Source organism: Homo sapiens, chromosome 17 (genome assembly GCF_000001405.40).
Source record: "Homo sapiens chromosome 17, GRCh38.p14 Primary Assembly".
Taxonomy (NCBI): Eukaryota; Metazoa; Chordata; class Mammalia; order Primates; family Hominidae; genus Homo; species Homo sapiens.
The window spans coordinates 74,546,643-74,568,444 of record NC_000017.11 but is presented as its reverse complement, the minus strand read 5'-3'; the positions used below and the strand labels follow the sequence as shown (position 1 = coordinate 74,568,444).

Sequence of the window (21,802 nt, the reverse complement as noted above, 5' to 3'; positions counted from 1 at the left end):
TACCACACCCATATACACACATGTGAACACACACAGAAATATGAGGACTCCACATGCAGCAAAAAATGAACAAGCAGGAAACACATTTACTGAAACACCAAGGAGGAGACATTTGATAACAGAATGCCAGGAATTTGGAGTCTCCTAGTTCCAGAAATCTAAGTCCCTGAGTGAGGCCTTCTGAAGCTGTGCTTGCATTTATAAATCCTCCACAGCCATTCTGTGTATATCAGGCACACTTCTGGCCAGGTTCCCCCGAGTTAGCTCTTGATATATTGAAACTCTTATATGTGGTCATCTTGGGCGACAGGAAGAGCCACACAGGTCAAAAGCAAGGCTTATAGATGGTCCACCAAGCTCTGCGTGGTGCCAGGTCTGTGGAAACAGTCAGGCACGTGGCCAAGACAGGGACCTCTGGGGTCTGCTGAGGTCAGAGCAAGAGTGAGGGGTTAAGAGGTCAGAGCCTCTGAGGTTGCACCCAGCCTATCTGTACCACCAAGGATCAGAGATAGACCAGCGGGCATCGTGGGTGTGCCCCTACCCTGTGCAGTCTCGCAGGCCCGGCTCTTAGAAGGGTCCCACGTTTCATGCTTGGCTGTCACCATCTTGAAATTCTTAATAATTTTGGAAACCTAGGTTTGATTTTACACTGGGCTCTGCAAATAGCCAGTCTCATCCATCCAGTGAAGGCTGAGCCATACCCTGGGGCGGCTCATGCTGGCCACAGAAAACTGGCCATTCACAGAGGGGAGGACCTGCCCAGAAAATCCAGATGGCAGCTGGCCCAGTCTCACTGGTCCTGGGCCATGCTGTGATTTGGAGAAGGGCAGGCCTGTCAGCTGTGGGTAATGGGAGGGACATTGTCTTTACTGGGAACAGAAAGAGGAACAGCAAATGCAAACATGTTTTATTAGGAAGAACTTCAGCAAGTTCTCAAAATTGTTTCACCTGACCACATAGTGCCCCATGGCCCCAGCTTCCTCCATACTCTCACCAGCTCTGAGAACCAAACCCAGAAGAGGCCAGAGAAGGAAACGAGAGATGTGAGAAGGAAAAAGAGCCTCAGACCCTGCTGCCACAAGGGACTTCCATGCTGGTGAGATGACCCAGAGGGCTGGGGCTGCCATGCTGCCTTCAGCTCTGCTCCTTCTCTGTGTCCCAGATGAGCAGGGCAGGTCCTGGGTGCAGGGAGGTCTGCTCTGGCGGGTCAGGGTGAGGCAGGCATGAGAAAAGGCTGGCGAGGGGCAAGAGGAAGAAATGATATCAAGAAAGAGGGAGTGAGGTGTGCATAGAAGCTTCTCAAATCTCCTTATCGGGATAGGGTGGGGATTAAACGGTAAACTGCTTCCCACACAGTAAGCCCTAAGTAGATTTGGCAACTTTAATCATTATTACCGTCATTATTAAGATCAGGAATGCCACCACGATCCATCAGAGAGAAGGGGGAATAGGGGACAGAAAACCAGTACTTACTAGGCTAATCACTGTAATACATATCTTGTTTCCCACTATCTCATTTAATTCTTATTGCAATCCTGATGAAAACAAGAGACCGAAGCTCGCTCTTAGAGGTGCAAATAATTTAGATTAAACAGTTTATAAAAGGCACAGTCAAGGTCCAAACCTAAATACTTTTATTTCCAAGATCATTGCTCCTTCTCTAATTCAATGTCAATGTCTGCTGCGCCTCCTTGTAAAGCTTCACTTACATATCTGGAGGCATATGCTGCATCCCCACGTGGGAACCCTGGGTGTCCCCACAGGTCTGGGCTGGCCCCAGGGCTGCTACTTAATGGGCCCCCAGAAGGGTGAGACAGCTGGGAACCTGTGGTCAGCCCTGGTCCGAGAGTTTCCGTAAATGATGGTGGAGGGAGAAAGTCAGTTTCTTTGCAAGGCTGGGTAGGCGGGAAGCTCCGTAAAAGATGGTGGGGGTGGAGGTGGAGGAGGCTGCCCATGTTGGCTCAGAGTCAGGGTCTGGACTGAATATCCAAGGAGAGGGAGGCTCTGTGGTGGGATTCAGTGTGTGCCCCACAATGTTTTTGCTCCTTGTGGAATTAGCCCCAAATCATTAAGAGAGAAGTTTAAGGACCTGAAAGAGCAGGCTAACAGCGCCCCCAGAGCCTGAGCTGAGAGCAGCAGCGATTTCAGGAGAGGACTGGGTGTGCCCACCCCTTCCTTGCTCCTAAGCCTGTGCCTGGCAGGCAGTTAGCTCCCTGGGAAAGCTCGTGGACCTCAACACTGTGGACATTTGGGGCTGCGTTATTCTGTGTGTTGGGGGCTGTCCTGTGCATTGTAAGATGTTTAGAAGCATCCCTGGCCTCTACCCACCAGATGCCAGCAGCAATTCCCCACCCTAAGTTGGGACAACCAAAAATATCTGTAGTCATTACCAAATGTTCTCCCGCCCGCCCCCCTGCCCCCCCGCCCCCTCCCCGCCCCCCTGCCCCCCAGGTGAGAATCACTGCTTCAGAGAGGCAGACAGCTTTCTAATGCAGAATAGGTCAGTGGGCCACTCGAGCCTGCTTTCTGGGAAATAAAGTGAGAAAACGTGAGATAAGAAAATGAAGATGCAAAAGATAAAGTTTTCCTGTTTTTTTTTTGAGACAGAGTCTCACTCTGTCGCCCAGGCTGGAGTGCAGTGGTGCGATCTCGGCTCACTGCAACCTCCACCTCCTGGGTTCAAGTGATTCTCCTCCCTCAGCCTCCTGAGTAGCTGGATTACAGGCACCCACCACCACGCCCGGCTAATTTTTTGTATTTTCGATAGGGACAGGGTTTCATCGTGTTGGTTAGGCTGGTCTCAAACTCCTGACCTCAGGTGATCCACCTGCCTCGGCCTCCCAAAGTGCTGGGATTATCGGCATGAGCCACCACACCTGGCCAGATTTTTCTTTTAATTCACAATAAAAATATAGCAAAGCCTCTCCATCAGTGGATGGCAATATATTACCTAGATGGATGGGTGGGTAGATGAAAGATGGATGGATGGATAGATAGTAGATAGATAGATAGATAGATAGATAGATAGATAGATAGATAGTTGATAGGTAGACAGATTACATCCACAATTCCTTTTCAGGAGCTTGGTATTTTGCCAAAACCATTTCTCAATAGCCGTTTTGTCCTGAGTTAACCACCTCCCTGTCAAGAGCAGATGAGACAGCAGCTGTTTAGGACTGGTGAGGCCCCCGAGGCAGGAAGCAGAGAGTTGATGGGGCTGGGTCCCAATCATTTGGACCCGGAGCCTGCAGAGTGGGTGGAGGAATGAGAGAGGGGACTCGAAGAGGGAGAGTAATGTCGAAATATTGGAGGGGGCAGAGGACCTGGAGAAGAGGCCCAGGACATGCCAAGGCGGGTGGGTGCTGCAGAGAATTGGGGGTGGGAAGGAAGCTCTGATGGGTGTCCCTGTGGAGCGGAGCCCTGCAGATGTTAGGCAATGGCGAGTGTTGCTGCAGGATTCTGTCCCGGGGGAAAATTCCAGGCGTAAATGTCCTTGAATCACAAGAACAACTCCTTTCTACATGGCCCCTTGATATCCCCATGGGCAGCCCCCATATTCTCTGTGACCCAGACCTGGGAGCAGGAGGCCTCATCTATATGGGCAGGGATGGCAAGTATGAGGCCCACAGATGATTTGGGAAAGGGGCAGAACCAGAAGCCCCAGGCTTCCTCCTTGCCCTCCATACTGGGCTGCTTCTGGTTTTTCCTGGTTCTCAATATTATTTCCTTTCCTATTTCATCCATCCGTCCATCCATCCATCCATCCATCCATCCATCCATCCATCTATCTCTCCAGCCATCCATTTATTCAGAGTGTACTTAGTGGCTTCATTCAATCATTGGTGTTCGATGAGGACAGGTGTTTCTTCTCAGGACTGACACTTCTGGGGGACCCAGAACCTGTCTGAGGCCACCGAGGTCAAGCCTCTCCCCCTGATATTATAAGATGGCTGAGCACACCCAGGCTGGCATGGCCTCTGGAGTCTCAGGATCCCACACCGGGCATCTCCTTGGGTCTCCCCCTGCAAATAGCCCATAGCTCCCTGGTTCCCGACTCCTCCCTCCTCCAGCCTCAGGCAACACTGGGCGTGCAGAGGACCTGACACTCAAGGTTCCACTGGTCCAGACTCTTCCAGGTGAAGACGGGGAAACGGACTTGTGTTTTCCAGGCTGTCTGACTGTGAGTGGCCCCAGCACCGTGATGGGCGCCGTGGGGGAATCCCTGAGTGTTCAGTGTCGGTATGAAGAGAAATACAAGACGTTTAACAAATACTGGTGCAGACAACCATGCTTGCCAATTTGGCATGAAATGGTGGAGACCGGAGGGTCTGAGGGAGTGGTGAGGAGTGACCAAGTGATCATCACGGACCATCCTGGAGACCTCACCTTCACCGTGACCTTGGAGAACCTCACGGCAGACGATGCAGGAAAATACCGATGTGGGATTGCAACAATACTGCAGGAAGATGGCCTGTCTGGTTTCCTGCCCGATCCCTTCTTCCAGGTTCAAGTGCTGGTCTCATCGGGTAAGAGCCTCTTTTCTCAGGCATCTGAGGCCATCTCTGCAGAGCAGCCACAGAAATTTTGGCCCAGGAGAGAAGAACTGGGCCTAGTGTGGTGCATCAGAGACTCAGGACAGAGTATGTTGTGTGAATGTGTGTGGGAAATACATGTGTGTTTGAATGAGTGGGACAGTGTAAGTGTGTTTCAGTGTGTGACTGTGAGTTGTGTGCAAACATGTGAGAGTGAGTGCAGGTGTGAAGGTGTGTGTGAAAGCAGGTGTGTGTGAATGTGTGAGAGAGCAGGTGTGTGTGAGTGTGTGTGAGTGTGTGAGGGAGCAAGTGTGTGTGAGTGTGAGTGTGTGAGAGCAGGTGTGAGTGAGTGTGGGAGTGTGTGTGAGAGCAGGTGTGTGAGTGTGTGAGTGTGTGTGAGAGCAAGTGTGTGAGTGTGTGCAAGAGCTGGTGTGTGGGTGTGTGTGAGAGCAGGTGTGTGTGAGTGTGTGTGAGAGCAGGTGTGTGTGTGAGAGCAGGTGTGTGAGTGTGCATGTGAGAGTGTGTGTGAGAGCAGGCGTGTGTGAGTGAGTGGGCGTGTGAGTGTATTTGTGAAGTTGCGTGAGTGCACATGTGAGAGTGTGTGTGCAGGTGTGAGAGTGTGTGTGAGACAGAGAGTGTGTGCTGGAGGGTAGTGGTGGTGTGTGGATACACTGGCAAGGATGGGGGTTTTGGAACCTAAGCCTAACCTTCGGCATGTTGATTTTCAGCGAGATGGGGGACACCAACATGGGAGAAGGTGGTCATCCTCTGGTCTGGGTTTATAAAATGCCCACCCGGCCCCAGAGCAGGGCATCCATTGGGATGGGGTTGGGGGGATGCTCTGTTACTCCAGTCAGGCTTTGGTCTGCCTATTGGAAGACGATGGTCCTAGAACATCTGTCCAGCTGCCTCCTTGAGCGTCCTCTGCTTTATGAAGTCAGAACCATGCAGGTACCAGGTACTCAGCTGGGAAGAGTCAGGCGTAGGGCACTGAACCTCTGTTCTTTATCCTCAGCCTCCAGTACTGAGAACTCTGTGAAGACACCTGCATCTCCCACCAGGCCCAGCCAATGCCAAGGGTAAAATGCACGTGTCCCAGTGTCTTTTGCCATGTGTGCAGCTTCTTTCCTAGGGTGGGGCTTCCTAGACACAGGTTTCCTTGATTATTCACCCACTCAACATTTATTTATTTATTTATTTTTTGAGACAGAGTCTAGCTCTATCGCCGAGGCTGGACTGCAGTGGCACGATCTCGGCTCACTGCAAACTCCGCCTCCCGGGTTCACGCCATTCTCCTGCCTCAGCCTCCTGAGTAGCTGGGACTACAGGCGCCCGCCACTAGGCCCGGCTAATTTTTTTTTTTGTATTTTTAGTAGAGACGGGGGTTTCACCATGTTAGCCAGGATGGTCTCGATCTCCTGACCTCGTGATCTGCCCGCCTCGGCCTCCCAAAGTGCTGGGATTACAGGTGTGAGCCACCGTGCTCGGCCAACAGGTGTTTATTTGTTATGCGCCAGAAACTGATGGAGATTCTAGAGATGCAACAGTGAACAAAGGGGCAAGATTGTGCTCTTGAGGAAGTTGCAAATAGGTAGATTCAGGCAATGGCCAGATGGATAGATAGATAGACAGACAGACAGGTGGACAGACAGATAGATGGATAGATAGATAGATAGATAGATAGATAGATAGGTGGATAGATAGATAAACAGACAGATGATAGATATGATATGAAAGATGATAGAGATGGCTGGCTGGCTGACTGGAAAGACAGATGGAGATGATAGCTGGCAGAGAGAGATATGTAATAGAGACAGAGAGACGATAGATCAAGGAAATATGTCAACGAATGATAATTACTGTGGAGGAAAATAAAGCAGGTGTAAAGAGATAGGGTGCCAGAGTGTGTGGGAAGCTGGTGGGGCATGATTTGGGCTATCAAGGAAATACAAGATGTTCCACAGAAACAAAGAACAAAGGGACTGTCTTAGTTTGGGTTTCCCCCAAATCAGGTCCTGAGACAAGGACTTAGGAGCAATTTGTTTATTGAGAGGTAATCTCAAGAAGTACATTGAGAGAGCAGAAAGTGAGACCAGGAAAGGGGAAGGGCGGTGAAATGTGCTGTAATGAAGGGGTTATCCCCGTAGTAACTGGAGTCACTGGAGATTAACCCCTCTGGGCACCCTATGAGAGACTGTGTAGAACGTTCCTCAGAACTGGAGACAGAGTCTTCCAGGCAGCAGGCACTCCTGGGGGCATGAATTCTGTGGCCCATCTGGCCTGCTCTGCACAGGAAAATGTGTGCACTCTTGTAGATAACCTCAGGCAGAGATGGGGAGCTTGAGCTGGGAAATCCTTGGTGGGGCCAAGACTGCCTGCAGCTGCCAGGAGCTCAAGTGGGCAAAGGTGATATGGGGCAGGGCGCCAACAGGGTTTGTTACAGGGACTCGTCTTAGAGAGGATCAGGGAGGGCATCAGACAAGCCCTGCAGGTAGAGGGCTGGGAAGGTGGAGAGATGGCACAGCGGCCCATTTTGGGGAGAGAATGCAGCATCTGAGGAGTTGGAATGGGAGCAGTGTAGTGGGACCCACGGAGCGAGACGACTGGCCATGGGCTGAGCTTGGAGAGTTCACTCCTTGGGGTTGAGATTGTTAAGCCGTTTAAGCAAAAGAGCTGTTCTTGTGATCATATTTAATTTGAGTGAAGATGGTTGTAAAGGAGTATTTCATCCTTGAGGTTGTTCCCAGCAAGAGCTGAGTTCCTGCGGGCATCAGTGGCTGAGGGATCTGTTCAGGAAGTTGTTTCTGGGAGCCAGTTCCTGCCTGGGTTAACATATCTCTCTTCTTCTCTATCCCTCACCTCCGGCATCTGTTGGGTCTTGACACTCAAGGTTAATTCTGAGCTGAATGAAGGTCAGGAGCCTGTGACCCTCAGCATGGGGCTGCCTGACCCTGGTACCCACCAGGCTTGATGCTGACATTGGGTTTGAGGGCACAGGACGAGACCTCGAGGGAAGGCGGGGGAGAGGCAGAGCCTGGGACTCCCCGGAGAAGGCAGCTTACTACTAGTCACTCTCTCCGTCTCACAGGTCCCTGCCCAGCAGCACCTGCTTCCTGCTTCTCCCACTCCTGAAGGTGCCTCTGCTCCTGAGCATACTCGGTGCTATCCTCTGGGTGAACAGGCCTTGGAGGACTCCTTGGACAGAGTCATGAACAGGAGAACTTGCAACACCCCATGCCCATTGGAACCCTGTCCAGAGACACAGCCCCTCTGACTGCAAAAAGGACTTCTGACCCTGACCCTCATATTTCTTTCCATCTTATCACCGGATACTTTTTAAAAGTTAAAAAAAAATGTAGGCCGGGTGCGGTGGCTTACACCTGCAATCCCAGCACTTTGGGAGGCCAAGGCAGGTGGATCACTTGAGTCCAGGAGTTTGAGAGCAGCCTGGGCAGCATGGTCAGACCTCATCTCTACAAAAAAATACAAAAATTAGCAGGGTGTGGTGGTGTATGCCTGTGATCCCAGCTACTTGGGAAGCTGAGACAGGAGGATCGCTTGAGCCCCGGAGGTGGAGGTTGCATTGAGTCGAGATTGTGCCACTGCACTCCAGCCTGGGTGACAGAGGGAGACCCTGTCTCAGATAAACAAATAAATAAATAAAATACATCCCATACACAAGAGTATGTATATGAGGTATCTATACAGTTCAAGGACTAAAAATAAACATGTGTACCCACCATTCAGCCTAGGAAATCAATCATTATTAAGATGTTTGAAGCCCCCCATATGCCTCTCCCTGACCTCATAACTGTCTTTCCCCTACTGTCAGGGTTAAATACTATCTGAATATTTCTTGGAGTAATCACTCCCTTGCTTTAGTGTGCTGAGCAAGGACATGGTTGTTTTTGAATCCTGCACAGAGGAAATCATACTGTTGCAAGTTCTTCTGCTCATAAACCATATTGGATTTTTTTCCTTTCCTGACAGTAGATTGTAGGGAACTCCCTACAAACAAACAAAAACAAAACAAAACTGTGATTGGGCCATCAACTGGTTCAGTTTAAGTTGGTTTACTGTTATATGATGGGACCCCTCTGAGTTTTTCAGGGACCAGGTTAATGTATTGAGGACATGTTTAAAAATGTACCTGAGGCTGGGCATGGTGGCTCCCATCTCTAATGCCAACACTTTGGGAGGCTGAGACGGGATGATTGCTTGAACTCAGCCTGGGCAACATAGCAAGACTTCATGCCTACTTAAAAAAAAAATTTAGCCAGGCATGGTGGCACGCACCTGTAGTCCCAGCTTCTCAGAAGGCTGAGGCAGGAGGAATGCTTGAGCCTGGGAGATGGAGGCTGCAGTGAGCTATGATCATACCACTACACTGTGGCCTGGGTGACACAGTGAGACCCTGTCTCAAAACAAAACAAAAAAATGTACCAGGATTTGTTTTAACCAGATATGGTAAGGCATGCAGATACGGAAATGACTGTCATAAAGAAATAAGTTTCTACTCAAAGACCCCTAGAAGCAGGAGGTGCAGTGTGCCATGTAGGGCCACACGGGGAAGCACGAGGGCGGGTGAAGGGGCAGAGAGAGAGAGAGAGGAAATGTATGTGGGAGCCTTTATCATGGTTTTCAGAGGAAGTGATAGGCAAGGTAAGGTAAGCAAACAGCAGGCTTCGGAGTGTGTAGTTTGAATTATTCTGATGGGCTAGGATACAAGAGTGGTCTCTAGTTGTCTGGTACCTGGCCCTGGGGTGATTTAGGGCAGGGGAAAGAAAATATCCCAGACTGCAGGAGCCTGCTGAAAGGAAGCAGGTGGGGGCATGGAATAGGGAATGGTTTGGTTTGCATATCAAAGGCAGACTTGCAGGCCAGTTGTTTACTTTCTCTAGGAATTAGCCCTGGGAGAGAGTTATTTGGATGGATATATTTGCCTATCTGAGTGGCTAAAATAAAAAAATAGTGACTATGTAGCAGGAAGAGCCACAGACAAAACTCCTCAGACACCGAGTTAAAGAAGGAAGGGGTTTATTCGGCTGGGAGCATCGGCAAGACTCCTGTCTCAAGAGCTGAGCTACCTGAGTGAGCAGTTCCTGTCCTGTTAAGGGCTCACAACTCTAAGGGGGTCTGCATGAGAGGGTCCTGACTGATTGAGCAAGCAGGGGGTACGTGACTAGGGGACGCATACACTGTTAATTAGAACGGAACAGAACAGGACAGGGATCTTCACAGTGCTTTTTTATGCAAATAACCGATTAGGTCAGGGGTCTATCTTTACCAGGCCCAGGGTGTGGTGCTGGGCTGTCTGCTTGTGGATTTCATTTCTGCCTTTTAGTTTTTACTTCTTCTTTCTTTGGAGGCAGAAATTGGGCATAAGACAATATGAGGAGTGGCCTCCTCCCTTAACAACACCAAATGCTGAAGGATGTGGTGAAACTGGATCACTCCTATGTGGCTGGCAGGAATGTAAAATGGTGCAAACACTCTGGAAAATAGTTTGTCAGTTTCTTACAAAACCAACCATGCAAGGACCATATGATCCAGTGAACGCATTCTTAGGTATTTATCTCAGAGAATGGAAACTTATGTTCACCCAAAAACCTGTGCATGAAAATTCACAGCAGCTTTATTCATAATAGTCCTGAACTGGAAGCAAGCCAGACATCCTTTCAGGGGTGAACGGTTCAACAAATTGCAGTTCATTCCTACCACAGAATGCCACTCCAGCACTAGAGAGGAGCAAGCTATTGATGTACGCAACAATTTGGATGAATCTCGAGGAGGTTATGCTGAGTGAAAAGCTCCAATCTGCAGTTTACGTACCGTATTGCTCCATTTCTATAACACCCTCAAAATGACAAAAGTACAGAAATAGATGACAAATGAGCAGTTCCCAGGGCTTAGCGATGGGGGATGTGGAAAAAGAGGGATGTGGATATGAAAAGGCCACTGCTTGGACAATGTTTAGTTTCAGCTTAAAAACTCTCATCTCACCCTCTACAACTGCCTCTCCCCTCCAGCCTCCTCTAACATGTCCTCTGGCTCATGTCTAAGTGGATTTGTCACACGTGTTTGGGAAGTCATTACCCAGGAAAAGGCTCCTCTCTTGACCAATCTAACCCAGCCCTCTTCACATCTCTCTTATTTCCTTTAAACACCCTTTGCAGGCAACGTCAAAAACATGCTGTCTTTTGAAAACATAAACTTCTTGCTCTCTGAGAGCTGGAAGTCTGGGCAGAGATGAAGTGTACCTTGTTCAGACCCTTCTCCTGTGCCTAAGCCACCTGTCAGCCAGGAAGCTTGCTGGTGGTGGTAGCTCTGGCCCAGACCCTTACGATGAAGAGTTGACTACAGCAGGTGAGATGGGCACTAACAAGGAGAAAGGGGTGCAGGGGCAGGAAGGGGGTGTTTCTTATCCCCACAGCTGCCTTCCCTCAGACCTTTCCTGGCACTGATTGTAGTTAGTGCTTCAAAGAGCTGCTTCCCTTGTTCACAGATAGTAAAAGGCATTGAAGATTGTCACCAAACCAAGTTCCAGCCTAGGTGAACATGTTCAGTAGGGACACTGGGTGTCTCTTCCTCTCCCAAAAGTAAGGTATTAGACATACCTGAGGCCGGGCGCAGTGGCTCATGACTGTAATCCCAGTACTTTGGGAGGCTGAGGCAGGTGGATCACCTGAGGTCAGGAGTTCGAGACCAGCCTGGTCAGTATGGCAAAACCCTGTCTCTACTAAAAGTACAAAAATTAGCCAGACATGGTAGCAGGTGCCTGTAATCCCAGCTACTCAGGAGGCTGAGGCAGGAGAATTGCTTGAACCTGGGAGATGGAGATTGCAGTGAGCTGAGATTGTGCCACTGCACTATAGCCTGGGTGACAAGAGCAAGACTCCGTCCCCACCCCCCCAAAAAAAAGACATAACTGAGACTAATTTATAAAGGAAAGAGGTTTAATTGACTCATAGTTCCACTTGACTGGGGAGGCCTCACAATCATGGTGGAAGGCAAAGGAGGAGCAATGTCACATCTTACACGGTGGCAGGCAAGAGAGAGAGCATGTGCAGGGGAATGCCTCTTTATAAAACCATCAGATCTTGTGAGACTTATTCACTATCATGAGAACAACATAAGACCTGCCACCATGATTTATTTACCTCCCACCAGGTCCCTCCCATGGCACATGGGTATTATGAGAGCTGTAATTTGAGATTGGAGGGAGGACACAGCCAAACCATAGCACCCACTCTCCTTGCTTGGCCTACTTGGTCTGAGGGGACCCAGCCACTCGTTTGTTCTTCCTTTTCATCATGTTGCCCTGTCCCCATGTGGTCTTTATGTTCTAGCCACAGTGTGCATCCCTCCCCAGGGCCTTAACACCTGCTGTTCCTCCCCCTGAATCCCTTCCCCCAGATCTTCTTACCTCTGGCTCTTTCTTATCCTTTTGGTTTCACCTCTGATGTTGCCTCCTCTGAAATGCCTCTGATCACCCTTTGCAGGGATCACCCCAATTGTCTTGATTATGGGTCCCTGTTTATTTTCTCCACAGTTTGCCAAATGCTGTTAATGTGTTTCCTTCGGGTGGTTTCTATCCATCTCCCTTTATATCACAGCAGCATTTGGGCCAGCTTCATTCACCACGAATGCCCCAGCATCCAGCTACAGAGTGTGGTGACAAATGTTGGCATTAAAGAAAATACTTGCTGAGTGAATAAATGAATAAGGATTGGATGTGGCTGCAGAGACTGGCTCTGGGCAAGTGTGGCCCAACTATATTAGATATCTGTTGATAAATAACAAATTCCCCCATGACTTCACGGCTGAAAACAGCAAATGTTCATTATCTCATGATTTTGAGAGCCGTGAATCTGGGAGTTGCTTAGCTGGGTGTTGCTGGCTCAGGATCTCTCTTTCATCAAGTTCTAGTCAAGATGTTGGCTGGGGCTGCAGTCATCTGAAGACTGGACCAGGGCTGGAGGATCTGCTTCCAACATCGCACATTCACGTGGCTGCTGGTGGGAGGCCTCAGCTCCTTGCTCAAAAGAGCTGCTTGTGAGTCTTCAAGACACAGCCACCAGCTTTCCCTGGAGATAGTGATCCAAGAGAGAGCAAGGCACAGTACCATTGATGGTTTATTCTTGGAAGTCATAGCCCGTGGCTCATATCTATGGATCACAGAGGCCCACCCAAATACCATATGGAAGGAGACTCCTCAAGGGCGTGGGTGTCTGATCTGGGTGGCTGTTAGACACGGGTAGTCATTTCCTCAAATTTTGCTGAGCCGACATTTACGATTTGTATTATTTTGTTTGTATGTTACACTTCCATCAAAGAATTTAAAAACCAAAACATGAGATTATACTTCTGAAAGTTTGCTTGACTTTCTTTTTTGGTTACAGTTTATTCATCTTTTTTTCCACCAAAGAAAGAGTTAATCTCTCCTCCTTCCAGCTATCTTGCCAACAGCTCTGAGAGAGTAAAGAATCTGACCGAAAGCATACAGTATAAGTGATCGTGTCAGCATTTCTCCGGCACTAATGCCCTAGAGTCTCTTCACTGGACCAGGACACTGAAGAGGACAGAGTGGCCCAGGGATGGCAAAAGGGAAAAGCAGAATCCTCAGACTCAGGAAACAGAATGAGAAGGGTGCTTTAGGCGGAGGGGGCCAAGGCGACCCAAACTGAGAAACTCCAGGGAGTCATTGTTTTCGAAGTCCTTCCACCCATCACTCTCCCTCTCCTCTCACTCCTCCAGTGCCTTTTGCTTTTCAGGAAACAGTTCGAAACTGAAAGCAGTCTGTGCTGGTCCCTGGCTGTGCTGACAGGTTGAAATTTTCAACAGGGAACCAGTGCAAAGACAATGGTGATTTGAGAGTGGACATTGGGCTTTAGGTTTGAGTACGTGTGTATGTGACCCTGTGGGGATTTCTTTCTTTTCTTTTTTTTTGAGATAGACTTGCTCTGTCTCCCAGACTGGAGTGCAGTGGCTCGATCCCAGCTCACTGCAACCTCCGCCACCCGGGTTCAAGCGATTCTTGTGCCTCAGCCTCCCGAGTATCTGGGACTACAGGCGCATGCCACCACGCCAGCTAATTTTTGTATTTTTTGGTAGAGACAGGGTTTTGCCATGTTGGCCAGGCTGGTCTCGAATTTCTGGCCTCAAGTTATCCACCCGCTTCGGCCTCTCAAAGTGCTAGGATTACAGGCATGAGCCACTGTGCTCAGCTAATTTTTGTATTTTTAGTAGAGATGGAGTTTCACAGTGTTGGCCAGGCTGGTCTCAAACTTCTGGCCTCAAGTGATCCGCTTGCCTCAGCCTCCCAAAGTGCCGGGATTACAGGCGTGAGCCACCGCACCCTGTGGGAATTTCTTTCTTCAACTCTCAAGCCTGCACATAAGGACCTGATTCAGGAAGATCCACACAGAAACTCAGGAAGACTCTGGCTGGGGAGGTCCCCCTCTCACATGCAGAGTGACCTCTCCATAGACATTGCCCGGAGTTGATTAATTGTTTGGTTTTCAAGGCCTGCCATAGAGAAACTTAGAATACAACGCCTAAGGAGTCGACAAGCTGCACATCCAATATCATAGAGCCACCCACTGAGGAAATTGAGTCTCTTTCTCTTTTGCAAAGGAAAAAATAATTAAGCAAAGATTAAAGCCCAAAGTGAATGTCTTTCCTTGGACTGGAATCAGACATATCTGCTTTATTCCTCTCTGGCCTTCAGGGCCTCCCTAAGGTCCAGAGGGGCCTGGGCCACTTCTATTTTTGAGAGAGAGAGAGAGAGAGAGAGAGAGATGAAAAAACAAGGTTACAAAATTGCGGTATATTTTAAATGAGGGAAGTTCACAGATCAATTTCTTGGTACACAAAAAGCAATAAAGTATAATTAATTGAGCTCTAAAAAGAAGATTGTGGCTGGATGCAGTGGCTCACGCCTATAATCCCAACGGTTTGGGAGGCTGAGGTGGGAAGATTGCTTGAGTCCAGGAATTTGAGGCTGCAGGGAGCTATGATTGTGCCACTGAACTCCAGCCTGGGCAGCAAAGCAAGACACTGTCTGCAAGGGGGCAGATAATAAAAGGATACGTATAAATGTATGGGTTCAATACTTCTGCCAACCAGCCCTGAAGTTTGTGGAAGGAAAATAAATCTCCAGACCCCACAACCACCAAGCCAAAGGGAACAGCCAAGCTGGGAACTGTTTAGAGCAAACCTGCCTCCCGTTCTATTGCTAAAAAAGATAGCTACTAAGATTTAAAAAAAAAAAGCTACATACCTCCCTCACAATTCGTTCACAAAGAAATTCCTTACGGACAAAGGACAGATGTAACTCAATGTCATCCCTTTACTCTCTGAGATAAATGTATATCTGATTGCTTCCCTTGGAAAGGCTAATCAGAAACTCAAAAAAATGCAACTGTTTGTCTCTTATCTACCTGTGACCTGGAAGCCCCCTCCCACTTTGAGTTGTTTTGCCTTTCTAGACCGAACCAACGTACATCTTACATATTAGGTTGGTGCAAAAGTAATTGTGATTTTTGCCATTAAAACTAATGTTGCCCAGGCTGGAGTGCATTAAAAGTAATGGCAAAACTGCAATTACTTTTGTACCAATCTAATATACTGATTGATGTCTTATGTATCCTTAAAATGTATAAAGCCAAGCTGTGCCCTGACCACCTCATGTTGTGAGGACCTCCTGAGGCTGTCATGGATGTACTTTTAACCTTGGCAAAATAAACTTCCAAAATTAATTGCGACTTGTCTCAGATACACTTTGGTTCACAAGTTATATAGATAATCTAACTTAGGTCTGGCATTGGTTATAGTTAGTGCTTCAAAGACTGCTTCCCTTGTTCACAAATAAGAAGCATTGAAGATTGTCACCAAACCAAGTTCCAGCCTAGGTGAACATGTTCAGTAGGGACATTGGGTGTCTCTTCCTCTCCCAGAAGTGAGAAGTTCAACGTGCAGTGTGTGTGCTGCTTCTCAATATAGCGGAAGCCATGGGCCAGAATCAGATGTGTCCTCCTCTTTCCTGCCTGGATGCCCCCTGCCCTGGGCACTTGTCTTTAGGGATGAAACTTGCTCTGGTTGGAACTGCCCATTGAGCTTCAGATCCTGGTTGCACCTTGGCCCCTGGTCCCTGGCCCCTTGAGTCTAGGCGTGCCTGCACCGGCCCAGGGAGCTTCTCTCCTGAGCTTTCTGCAATCTCCCATCTCCAGCCTCAGACTTGAGACAGGGCTGGACAAGGAAGCAGATAGGGAAAGAAAGCAGAAGTGGGGCTCAGACCCTGGGAGAGGGGACTCCACCTTGTCCTACCAGAGCCTGATGCAGTGACAAGTGACATCTGAGAAGAGGCCACCAGGGATCGGGCTGCTCGGCTACTGGCAGCTCTGTTCCTCCTGAATGTCTCAGGTGGGTGGGCCCTGGACATGGAAGTAGGGACATGGAGAGAGGGCAGGAGGACAGAGGAGCATCAAGGAGCTGTCAGCAGCTGCCTCACTAGCTGAGTGCCAGGCTCCAGGGCACAGCGCAGGTGAGTCATGTTCCACTGCATCCTCGACAGAGAAGGCCCTGGGGGAGAGGTGCCTGTGATTGTCATTGCCACAGTTATCCAATCCGAAATGCCATCTTGATGAACCACACATACAATCATAGATGCATGCACGTGCACACACAGGCATGCACACGCACAGTGTTTTCCCAGTCCATGCCCTTCCTGTCTCCATGGAAACCCCCCTCCCCGTTCCCACCTCTGCAGGGAGGGAGCTACTCACCCCTCAGTTCAGATTCCTGGGTGGACAAGGGCTGTCTGCCTGCCACTGTCTCCTCTACAACCCCAGGGTCCGAGAGGCCCTGACCCCAGAACATCCCTGACCCAGGCCCATCTGAGGAGAAGCTGGGACTTTGGCTTGTATTTTCCAGGCTGTTTTGCTGTGGGCGGCCCCAGCACCATGACAGACACCGCAGTGGGGATCCCTGAATGTGCAGTGTCAGTATGAGGAGGAATACAGGACTTTCAACAAATACTGGTGCAGACAACCACTTTTTCTACTATGTGACAAGACTGTAAAGGCTGGAGAGTCAGCAGGAGTGAGTAATGGCTGAGTGTCCATCAGGGACCATCCTGCAAACCTCAGCTTCACAGTGACCCTGGAGAGCCTCACAGAGGAGGATGCAGGTGGATATTTGTGTGGGGTCAATAGACTATTGCTCCAAGAATTTCAAGATCTTGTCTTCCAAGACCTTGTCTTCCAGGTGGAGGTGTCGGTGTTCCCAGGGGAGCCCCCTTCACTCAGCACCAGGCCTGTCTGAGTCTAGGGCTGGTCATTCTGTCCCTGAAGTGAGAAATGGGACAGGAGTGTGTGAGGTTGCAGGCAGTGACTTAGGACACAGTGTCTGTGTGTGCATGCATGGGTTTGCTGTGTGTGTATGCACAGGTGTGTGTGTGCGCACGCATGCACAGGTGTGAGTTGTGTTTGTGGTGTGTGTGTGTGCGTGCGCAGGTGTGGTGTGTGTGTGCTTGCACAATTGTGTGGTGTGTTTGTGTGTGTGCACCCGTGTGTGTGTGTGCTGACATGCACAAAAGCACATTTGCACCTGTTGTTGGAGACTCCTCTGTGTGCCCCACCCTGAAAGTGTCTGGCCTTGTGGGGCCACCAGCCTGGCTGACATTTGGGGTTGAGTGGACTCGGGTCCCATCATTCAGGGAGGGCCCCACTGACTTCCTGTCCTTACTTCCAGTTCACTCCAGCCACTGCCATGCCCAGGGCCCTGGCTCCGCAGTCACTCTAGGTCACGCTTCACAGAGTGAATGTCACCCCTCCCTCCTTGGCTGGGATGGGGTCTGCAGCCAGGTCTTCTTTCCACAGACTCTCACGTTCCCCTAGAGAGCAGGTTGACTCTTGCCTCTGAAAGTGCTCATCTGGCTATGAAGTACTTGGGGATAAGACTAGGGAGGGGCCCAGGGCCCTGGTCCGGCCTGCGTGTGGCCGTGGAACGTGTTGGACTCAGGGCATCTGTCCAGCATGTACTGAGTGATCGTGTCTGTGGAAATCAGAGCTGAACAGGTGATGATGAGTGGGAGACTCAGGCGAGGTCGCCGAGACTGACCTGTGATGCCCCTGCAGCCCTGACAGCGGCCTCCAGTCTCAGAGCTCCACGGGCACCTCGGGTCCTCCCGTTACGTCCCAGCGTGCACCTGGCCCAGCTCTACCAGACAGGACAGCCCTGATCCCAGCCCACACCCAGGGTAAGGTTCGTGCCCCCAGGACTGCCACCTGGGCAGCCTTTCCTGTAGGCTGGGGAGAGATGGGATGGTTGTGTCTCTCTTCTTCTGGTCCCTTCTTTGCTCACGCCTCCCACACCTAATGTGAAGGTCCTACTAAGTGCCAGGTGCTCCTGTCAGGATAGGGTCACAGCAGGGAACCACTCAGCCACAGTCCTGCTCTGGTGGAGTTTGGGTTCTACCAGGTGGATTCACACAGTGAACAGGTCAGCACAGTGGCTGACAGACAAATACAGCGAAGTTTGATGACTGCTGGGAAGAGATATTTGTGCCTTGGGTTTGGGGAGCATGTGTGTGGGTGTTGGAGTCGCTATTTCACTGACAATGATCAGAAGAGGGTTTGTGGATTAGAGGACATGAGCGTGGAGACCTGCAGGATTTGGGAGCAGGGCGCTCTGGGGTCTGGGGGAAGAGGGGTCCAGGCAGAGGGAGGAGTGAGGCAAATGTCCTGCAAGGGAGTCCTGGGACCCGGCCAGGCCAGGGCAGGGGGCAGATGTTTTGGTGCCCGGTGACCCCGGCCCTCTCCCCTGGCCTCCCTTGCAGCCCTGGCCCGAGTCTCATCCTGTTTGATGAGCCCAGTCCTCTGAGGAGCTGAGAGCTGAGCTGGGCCATTCATTCATTCCTTCCATTCCTTCAACAACCATGAATTTTACAGGCTGATATTTGCAACCAGAGGGCAGGTACCAGTTACTTGTGAATAACATGAATAGTCCTCACCTTCTCGGGAAATGATGGCCATACAGGCATCAAACTACATGACTGATTCCATGCGCCAGTGAATAACCCCGGGATGTAGAGATCTTGTGGGTGTGGTTCTCACCTGGATCCCTCCCTGTCCTCATGCACCATTTTCACGGCCACGTGCTTCCTTATAGGCAGTCCTGAGACTCCAGGGACTCTCAGGCTGAAGGTCAGGGTCTAATGATCTCTTTAGAGGAGTTGTCATATACAGAGTTTGTCCTCACAGGGATTTGTGTGGCCACAGGACCTGGGTTCACAGACAGGCAGAAGGTGGAGGGCACCTGGGCTTCCCCTGGGGAGATGACTCACTGCCATCACCGTGTCCCCACAGCTCCCTGTTCAGCAGCCCCTACGTCCTGCTCCTGGTCCTGGAGCTGCCCCTGCTCCTGAGCATGCTGGGTGCCGTCGTCTGGGTGAACGGACCTCAGAGAAGCTCTGGAAGCAGGCAGAGTTGGCCAGAGGGTGAGAACCAGTAGCATCTACTGTCCATCAAGGCCCTGCACTGCGACAGAACCCCTTTGCGGGACTGGAATGACCTCCTGACCACTCCCTCCCGGGCTGCTCTCTCCACATCTCCTGGAATTCTCTGTGAGCCTCCTTCAGCCTTTTCCCTGTGCCTGATCCATGAATCACACGTGAACCTGATGGACACAGACGCCCTGAGCTGTGACTCCATGTCTCATGTGCACGCCCTGGCCAGCTGAACCTCGAGCTGTCACCAACACCTCTAAGTGCCTGATGCCCTCTCTGCACCTTTCCATTTCTCCAGGAGCTTGGCATTGCTTCCTTCAACGTTTTCACAGGGAGGAGCAGGTCCAGGACTCCCCTGCACCTTTGCCACCATAATGGCCCACACTCCCCGGGTCCAGGAGTGCAGAATATGTGGCTGCTTCCATTTGCTGAGTGTGTCAATTCAATGATGCTTTCGAACTTTAAGAAATGACAATACATAGATTCTGGACCTATCATGCCCACTAAGTCAGACCTGGGTGAAAACTCCATTGTTCCCTGATCTCCACAGGCCTTTGCTCAGAATAGTGGACTAAGCCCCAGGCTGGGCCTCTCAGGACTGGGGTCCCTGCAGAAGAGGATCCAGGATTCCCCCCAAAACCTGACAATTCCGTTCCTTATGTAGACACATCCTGGCCAGTGTCTTCTGGTCCCTGCGGGAGGGCTGGTAGAAGATTATCAGTGTGAGTTGTGGCATGGTAGCCAGGCCTTTCCTTCCTCCTTCCTCAAGGGGACCTGACCTCCCCTTCATTCCAGGGCTGTGGCTTTTAACTGACTCAAATATGGAAATTGGTTGAGGGCCGTGACTTCTTAATGTGGTAGTTAACTGAGTCTTTTGCTTACTAGTGCAGACCATGTCTGCTTATCCAGACAAAGGAAGACGTTATCAGCTGACCATCGTTTCGGTTCCAGGGATGCCACACCCAAGACCCCTGTGAGGCAGATGATCCCCATGAGTCCACCAGGTCAAGGAGGGACACGCCTGGGGGTCCTCACCTATTTTTACATTCAGCAGATACTTATGGGAGCTTCTGGTGTATCAGACACTGACCTGGCATTGGAGTCCAGCCGTGAACACCCAGGCAAGGAGCTCTGTTTTCATTGAGCTCATATTCCAGGCGGGGGATAGAAATGATAAACAGATGCAAAAATACGTGCATAAATTCCAGAAGAAATATAAAAGTCAGAGATGAAAAGAGTCACGGAATGAAATAAGAGAAGTGGGGTGACTGCTGTGCAGGAGCTGAGGGGGACTGTGGTGAAGCCCCTCTAATAGGCGCTGAGCAAGCAGGGATCAGGAGAAAGGAGGGGGTGAGCGCCAGGATCCCTGGAGGAGGAGCCCTGAGGCAGAGAGAGGAGCAGGTGCACATGTCCTGCCAGGGGCAGATGCCTCCCTGGGTCAGGTGGCTTCAGGGCCTCCAGACAGCATTTCCTGTCTCCTCCCCAGCCTGGGCAGGAAATGGTGCACCAACTTTGGATGACTAAGTCCTCTGAGGCAGTGGGACATCAGGATGTCATGTATCCATTCACCCATTCATCCTTTCAACAGCCAGTTTGTTAAACTGCACTTGGCAGACTCTGGAATGATAACGGGCACAGCTGTGAATGAGACAAGAGGCTGCACCTGCTCTCAAGGGGCGGCCACCCTAGATGGGAGCAGACATTGACTCGCCAACAGAAAGACTGAGGAAGACGAGAGGGAAGTGTGAAATGGGTCATGAGGACCCCTAAAAAGCGAGCCACCATAACCCGGGAAGGTCAAGGAACACGCAGGCAACCCTGTCGGCTGGAGCCAGGCAGAGGAGTGGGAGGTTGAGGGTCTGGACAAAGGCCCGAGTGGGGAGGGTGGCAGCACCAGTGTGAACCTGGATCCAGGAGGCTGGAGACACCTACCAGGTGCTGGGGCCTGCCAGGACCTGTGTGCAGAGGCCAGGTCAGGTGGGTGCCATCCTGTGACAGCAGGAGCCATTGGGAGTTCAGCAGCGCCTCCCCAGGGCCATGTGTGTGTGTCAGGGATCACATTGCTGATTCTGTGGAGAATGAAAGGGGTGGGTATGAGCAGAAGGGGAGACCAGGTCAGCCCATGAAAGAGCCGGGATACTTCAAAGCCAGGCCCAGGCCAGACCTGAGCACTGGGCTAATTGGAGGCCCTGGGATTGCACTGGGCTAGAGATAGTCCCATGATGTGAGTCTGGGGGCATCAACACCAATGACCCCAGTGCATGCTGTGTCCCTGAGAGTGTAAATGGAGGGAGGACAGGGCAGGTCGAGGGTGCAGAGACCCCTTCATGGTGCCAGGTTTGCCCAGACTCCCATCACTCTCCACTCAACCTCATGGCTGTGTGCACATACTGGTGCTATTGACTCTGATAGGAAGAAAGGAACAGAAATCTGTAGGAGGGTTGGGAGAGTCAAGGAATATGCTTAAGGCATGAGAAGGTGGAGAAGGGGTGATGCCCTCCAGGACAGACAGGAGGTAAATCCTGTGTCTGACTAGCCTCCTTGCCCTTTCCAGGGTAAAGACACCCTGAGCCCATCACGTCAGGAGAACCAGCCATGCCGAGTGTGGATAGACCTGGGTTCCCGCCTCCTGGGAAGGCCTGTCTGCCATGTCTGCTCCCTGCGGAGGCCCCTGGCCATCACAGTGGACCCAGGATAGACACCAGCAGCCGCTGCTCATGACAAACTGTCCTCTCAGTCACCAAACACCCCTCCGTGTGCC

At 50.7% G+C, this 21,802-nt stretch overlaps 1 protein-coding gene across 4 annotated transcripts, besides 2 other annotated features; it reads left to right on the top strand.

Annotated features, from left to right (window-relative positions):
• The first annotated feature begins 935 nt into the window (after positions 1-935).
• Positions 936-11,202, top strand: CD300H (CD300H molecule (gene/pseudogene)). Of its 4 annotated transcripts, none has more exons than XM_011525569.3 (4): positions 936-1,162; positions 4,170-4,526; positions 5,548-5,611; positions 10,709-11,202. In XM_011525569.3, the coding sequence occupies exons 1-4, from the start codon at positions 1,102-1,104 to the stop codon at positions 10,734-10,736; spliced, it is 510 nt and encodes a 169-aa protein (XP_011523871.1). In that variant the 5' UTR covers positions 936-1,101; the 3' UTR covers positions 10,737-11,202. The 4 variants fall into 4 exon arrangements, with proteins under 4 accessions (XP_011523871.1, NP_001392440.1, NP_001311002.1 ...); NM_001405511.1 differs by lacking the exon at positions 10,709-11,202 and adding an exon at positions 7,621-8,274 and having other exon boundaries at positions 936-1,096; NM_001324073.3 differs by lacking the exon at positions 10,709-11,202 and adding an exon at positions 7,621-8,274.
• Positions 16,631-17,131: an enhancer, noted in NCBI's record as "H3K4me1 hESC enhancer chr17:72547453-72547953 (GRCh37/hg19 assembly coordinates)". NCBI's record gives its function as "activates a minimal SCP1, AML or CMV promoter by ChIP-STARR-seq in primed H9 embryonic stem cells {active_cell/tissue: H9 hESC(primed)}" and the evidence as "EXISTENCE:reporter gene assay evidence [ECO:0000049][PMID:30033119]".
• Positions 17,132-17,632: an enhancer, noted in NCBI's record as "H3K4me1 hESC enhancer chr17:72546952-72547452 (GRCh37/hg19 assembly coordinates)". NCBI's record gives its function as "activates a minimal SCP1, AML or CMV promoter by ChIP-STARR-seq in primed H9 embryonic stem cells {active_cell/tissue: H9 hESC(primed)}" and the evidence as "EXISTENCE:reporter gene assay evidence [ECO:0000049][PMID:30033119]".

Coding starts and splice junctions, on each gene's coding strand:
- CD300H (NM_001324073.3), top strand. CDS start 1,102: ATGACCCAGAGGGCTGGGGCTGCCATGCTGCCTTCAGCTCTGCTCCTT. Junction 1,163..4,169: donor GCTCCTTCTCTGTGTCCCAG/ATGAGCAGGGCA, acceptor TGTGTTTTCCAG/GCTGTCTGACTGTGAGTGGC. Junction 4,527..5,547: donor TCAAGTGCTGGTCTCATCGG/GTAAGAGCCTCT, acceptor CTTTATCCTCAG/CCTCCAGTACTGAGAACTCT.